General features: G+C 42.8%; 1 annotated feature.

Moving 5' to 3' along the window:
• Nucleotides 2,314–2,608: an enhancer, noted in NCBI's record as "tiled region #14939; HepG2 Activating non-DNase unmatched - State 12:CtcfO, and K562 Activating non-DNase unmatched - State 13:Ctcf". NCBI's record gives its function as "activates a minimal TATA promoter and a strong SV40 promoter by Sharpr-MPRA in HepG2 and K562 cells {active_cell/tissue: HepG2 | K562}" and the evidence as "EXISTENCE:reporter gene assay evidence [ECO:0000049][PMID:27701403]".

Below are 3,912 nucleotides of genomic sequence, written 5' to 3'. Positions count from 1 at the left end.
TTCATGGAGGGCCACACTGTGGCCTCAGAGATCTTCTCTCCCAGCCTCTGCCTCCCAGGAGAATGGCTCCTTGAGGACCCCAGGCCTTGGGTCAAAAGCCAGCTATATGAAGCACATTCCTGGGAGGCCAGGCGCTGAGGCACCAGGGGCCAGGAGGAGACAGTGATGAGGCAGTGGGTACCGAAAGCACTTGGGAAGGTTGCAAAGGCAGACTGACTTGACTTTGCATTGCTGCTCTGTCCAATCACGAATGGCCAAGAGCTATCCTACTGATATTCCCTGTTTTTTTGTTTGTTTGTAAGATGATGGCATGAAGGATTAGTGGTGGAGAATCATATTTGCTCAACCAATGTGTTGATTACCATGGTTCTTCCTGCCCACCGCAGGCCAGGCCCTATGCCCTGCAGTAATCCTGCTTCCTGGGGCTTTCTAATCCCTTTATCTTTTTTTATATTTGAGGCTCTGTTGCCAGGCCTAGTAGAGGCAACCTTATACTCTCGTGATTCCAAATGGCTCTAGGCTACTGGAGAAACCCTGGAAACCACACACAACTTTCCAGGTGTTAAAGAAAAAAATATCCAATGGCATTAGTTAAAGCACAGTAAGGAAGACTTTGTTTGGGACTGCCATGGCAGGCACAGGGATAATAGCAAAGGATCTTGCAGCGAGGGAGAGAGACTGGGCTCAACTCTGAAAACAGCATAGGCAAGTGGAAATTTATAGCCAAGGACCAGGGGGAGGGGTCAGTGGATGGGCAATTACTAAGAGGCTACTTTAGGGGTACAGGGATTCTGGCTAAGCCACCTCACAGGATTCCTGCTGAAGGTAGGTCGGGGTGATAGGTCATCATGGGGGATGGTGGAGCATGGTGAGCCTGATCAGATATCACCGAGGGGGATCAGATATCAGGGGCGGGGAGTTCTCGCTAAATTGACAAAGCAGGGATTGCTAAAACAGATGTCACAAGGAAGTGTAGGAGAAGGTTCAGAAGCCCTAGGAGAAGGTTCAGAAAACTGACTAAAGTTTGGTCAAGCAGAGAATCTTTGTCATAGGTGATCATCCAAACCAAGGACTCAAATCTGTTTGATCACATCCTGCTATGATGAAACACACTCCATGTGTCTACTTAGTGCTTTATAAATGATGGCCACAAACTCCTGTACCCTGCATACCTTGTACTCAATACCTTGTGAAATATGCATTACAATAAAATATTTAAAAGGTTGAGATAAAAATAAAAGCATGTTTTATTACTTTGTTTACCCTGATGGATCAACTTGAGAACACTGCCTTGGAGTATTCTTTTGGGTGTTCTTGGCACCCAAGCCAATTGGCTGGACCTGCAGGCAGCCTCACGGAAGTGAGTGTGGGAGGCCAGAGACTGACCATGCTGCAGGCCTGGTTCAGATCTTCTCTCTGGGGCCTGAGTTTATTTGGTTTCCTTCTTTTCATTTTTTTTTTTTTTGGTTCATTTCTTTTGTTTGTTTTCCATTCTAGACAAGCTCTGAAATGAAACAATACCAGGCCAGTACTATATCCCCGGGAAATGTCAAAATGAAAAATGATCTCCTCTCAAGCTTTTCTTTTCCAGGCAAAATAAGCTCCCTTATTCTGAAACGTCCTCACTTCTCCACCCTGTGAAAAGTCACAGGGTGGAAAGTAACAGTCCAGTTTCTCATCGATGACGCTTCCTGGAAGGAACTGTGCCCTGGGTCTGCTTTGGGCCTAGACTGTGCTTAGAGAAAAAAGGCCAAGTTTATAACATGTTGCTCCTTTGTTTTCCTGCCCCACCCCTAATTCCTCCATCTCTAGCAAGCAGGAGATGAGGTGAGGAAGCCTAAAAATTAGCATTTTGTTTTCTGCTGACATGGTGGCTGATTGTGTGTTTTTTAGACACAGTTATTCAGCTGAAGTCATGGAATATTGACACATGGGGCAAGCTTCGTGCAAGAGTTTCACCTCTCTGACTGTGCCGATAAGGGTATATGTTAACACTCATTCATATCACATTTGTTTTCCTGAAACTCAAGGAAAATTAAAGTATCAGAAATCAAAACTTTCCTATGAACTGCACAGCCTATAATCTCCCAACTGGGGCAGAGGAAATTGTGAGCGCTCAAATCCAAACCAGGCAGTGCTCGCTGGGTGTCCAGGCAGGGTTGGTTCTAGAAGCATGAGCTGGTCTCGGAGGGCAACTTTGTGCAAAGTCCTTTCAACATGGGAGAAAAACTAGCACATATACAAATGCAATATTGGAAATTACTTTCTATCTTTATCCTGTCTTGTCTTTATTTGTGAAATGCTGAAAAACACAAAAAAGTAAGACAATCATAATCCCAGCCAACCCTCAGTGGGGAGCAACTTATCAGGAGTGCATTTATTTTGCTTTTCCTGAAGCCTTCAGTGTCCTGGAATCTAATATTGAAATCCTAACCCTTCATTCAACAAGGAAACGACCCTGATGAATTCCAGCAGCAGGGGGCACCAGAGCCCCAGCCGCGGGCAGGCGCACCTCAGCAGTACTGCTGAGTGGGTTCCAGGCCACCACAATAAAGAGAATCCCACAGGATTTATTTTTGTTTCTCAGTGCATATAAAAGATATGTTTACATTACATTGTAGTCTACGTGGTGTGCAATCACATTTTTCTAAAAAAACAATGTATATATCTTAATTTAAAAATACTTTATTGCTAAAAAATTGCTAACAATTATCTGGGCCTTGAGCAAGTCATAATCTTTGCTGGTGGAGGGTCTTGCCTCAGTGTTGATGGCTGCTGACTCATCAGGGTGGTGGGTGCTGAAGGTTGGGATGGCTGTGACGATTTCTTAAAAGACGACAGTGAAGTTTGCCACATCAGTTGACTCCTTTCAGAAAAGATTTCTCTGTAGCATGTGATGCTGTTTGATAACATTTCAATAGCATCTACCTACAGTAGAACTTCTTACAAAATTGAAGTTAATCCTCTCAAACCCTGCCACTGCTTTATCAGCTGAGTTTATGGAATGTCCTGAATCCTTTGTTGTCATTTCAACAATGTTCACAGCATCTTCACCAGGAATAGTTTGCATTTCAAGAAACTATTATTTGTTCATTCCTAAAATGAAACTCCTCATCTATTCAAGTTTTATCATGAGATTGTAACAATTGAGTGCATTTTCAGAGTCCATTTCTAATTCTAGTTGTCTTATTATTCCCAGCACTTCTGCAGTGACTTGCTCCACTGAAATCTTGAATCCCTCAAAGTCATCCATGAAGTTTGAAACCAACTTCTTCCAATCTCCCGTGAATATTGTTATTTCCATCTCCTCCCCTGAGTCATGAATGTTCTGAATAGCATCTAAAACGATGAATCATTTCCAGAAGGTTTTTAACTTACTTTGCCCAGATGCATCTAAAGAATCACTACCTATGGCAGCTGTAGCCTTACAAAATGTATTTCTTAAATAATAAGACTTGAAAGTTGAAGTCAGTTTTTGACTGTAAAATAGGTTGTGTTAGCAGGCAAGGAAACAGCATTAATCTCCATCTCCATCAAAGCTTTTGGGTGACCAGGGTCTCTGATCAATGGGCAGTAACAGTTTGAAAGGAATTTTATTTTTTTCTGAGCAGGAGGTCTCAAAAGTATACTTCAAATTTTTAGTAGGTGATTCTGTAAACAGATGTGCTGTCATCCAGGCTTTGCTGTTTCATTTATAAAGCATTGGTGGAGTAGAGTTAGCATCGTTCTTAAAGGCCTTAGGATTTTTCCGAATGGTAAATGAGCATTGGCTTCAACTTAAAGTCACCAGCAGCATTAGCCCCTAACAAGAGAGTCAGCCTGTTCTTTGAAGCTTTGAAGCTAGGCATTGACTTCTCCTCTCTAGCTATGAAAGCCCTAGATGATATTTTCTTGCCAGAGAAGGCTGTTTCA

This window comes from Homo sapiens, chromosome 20, assembly GCF_000001405.40.
Source record: "Homo sapiens chromosome 20, GRCh38.p14 Primary Assembly".
In the NCBI taxonomy this organism is placed as follows: domain Eukaryota; kingdom Metazoa; phylum Chordata; class Mammalia; order Primates; family Hominidae; genus Homo; species Homo sapiens.
The sequence above is the reverse complement of the archived record's forward strand: the minus strand, read 5'-3'. Positions and strand labels throughout refer to the sequence as shown.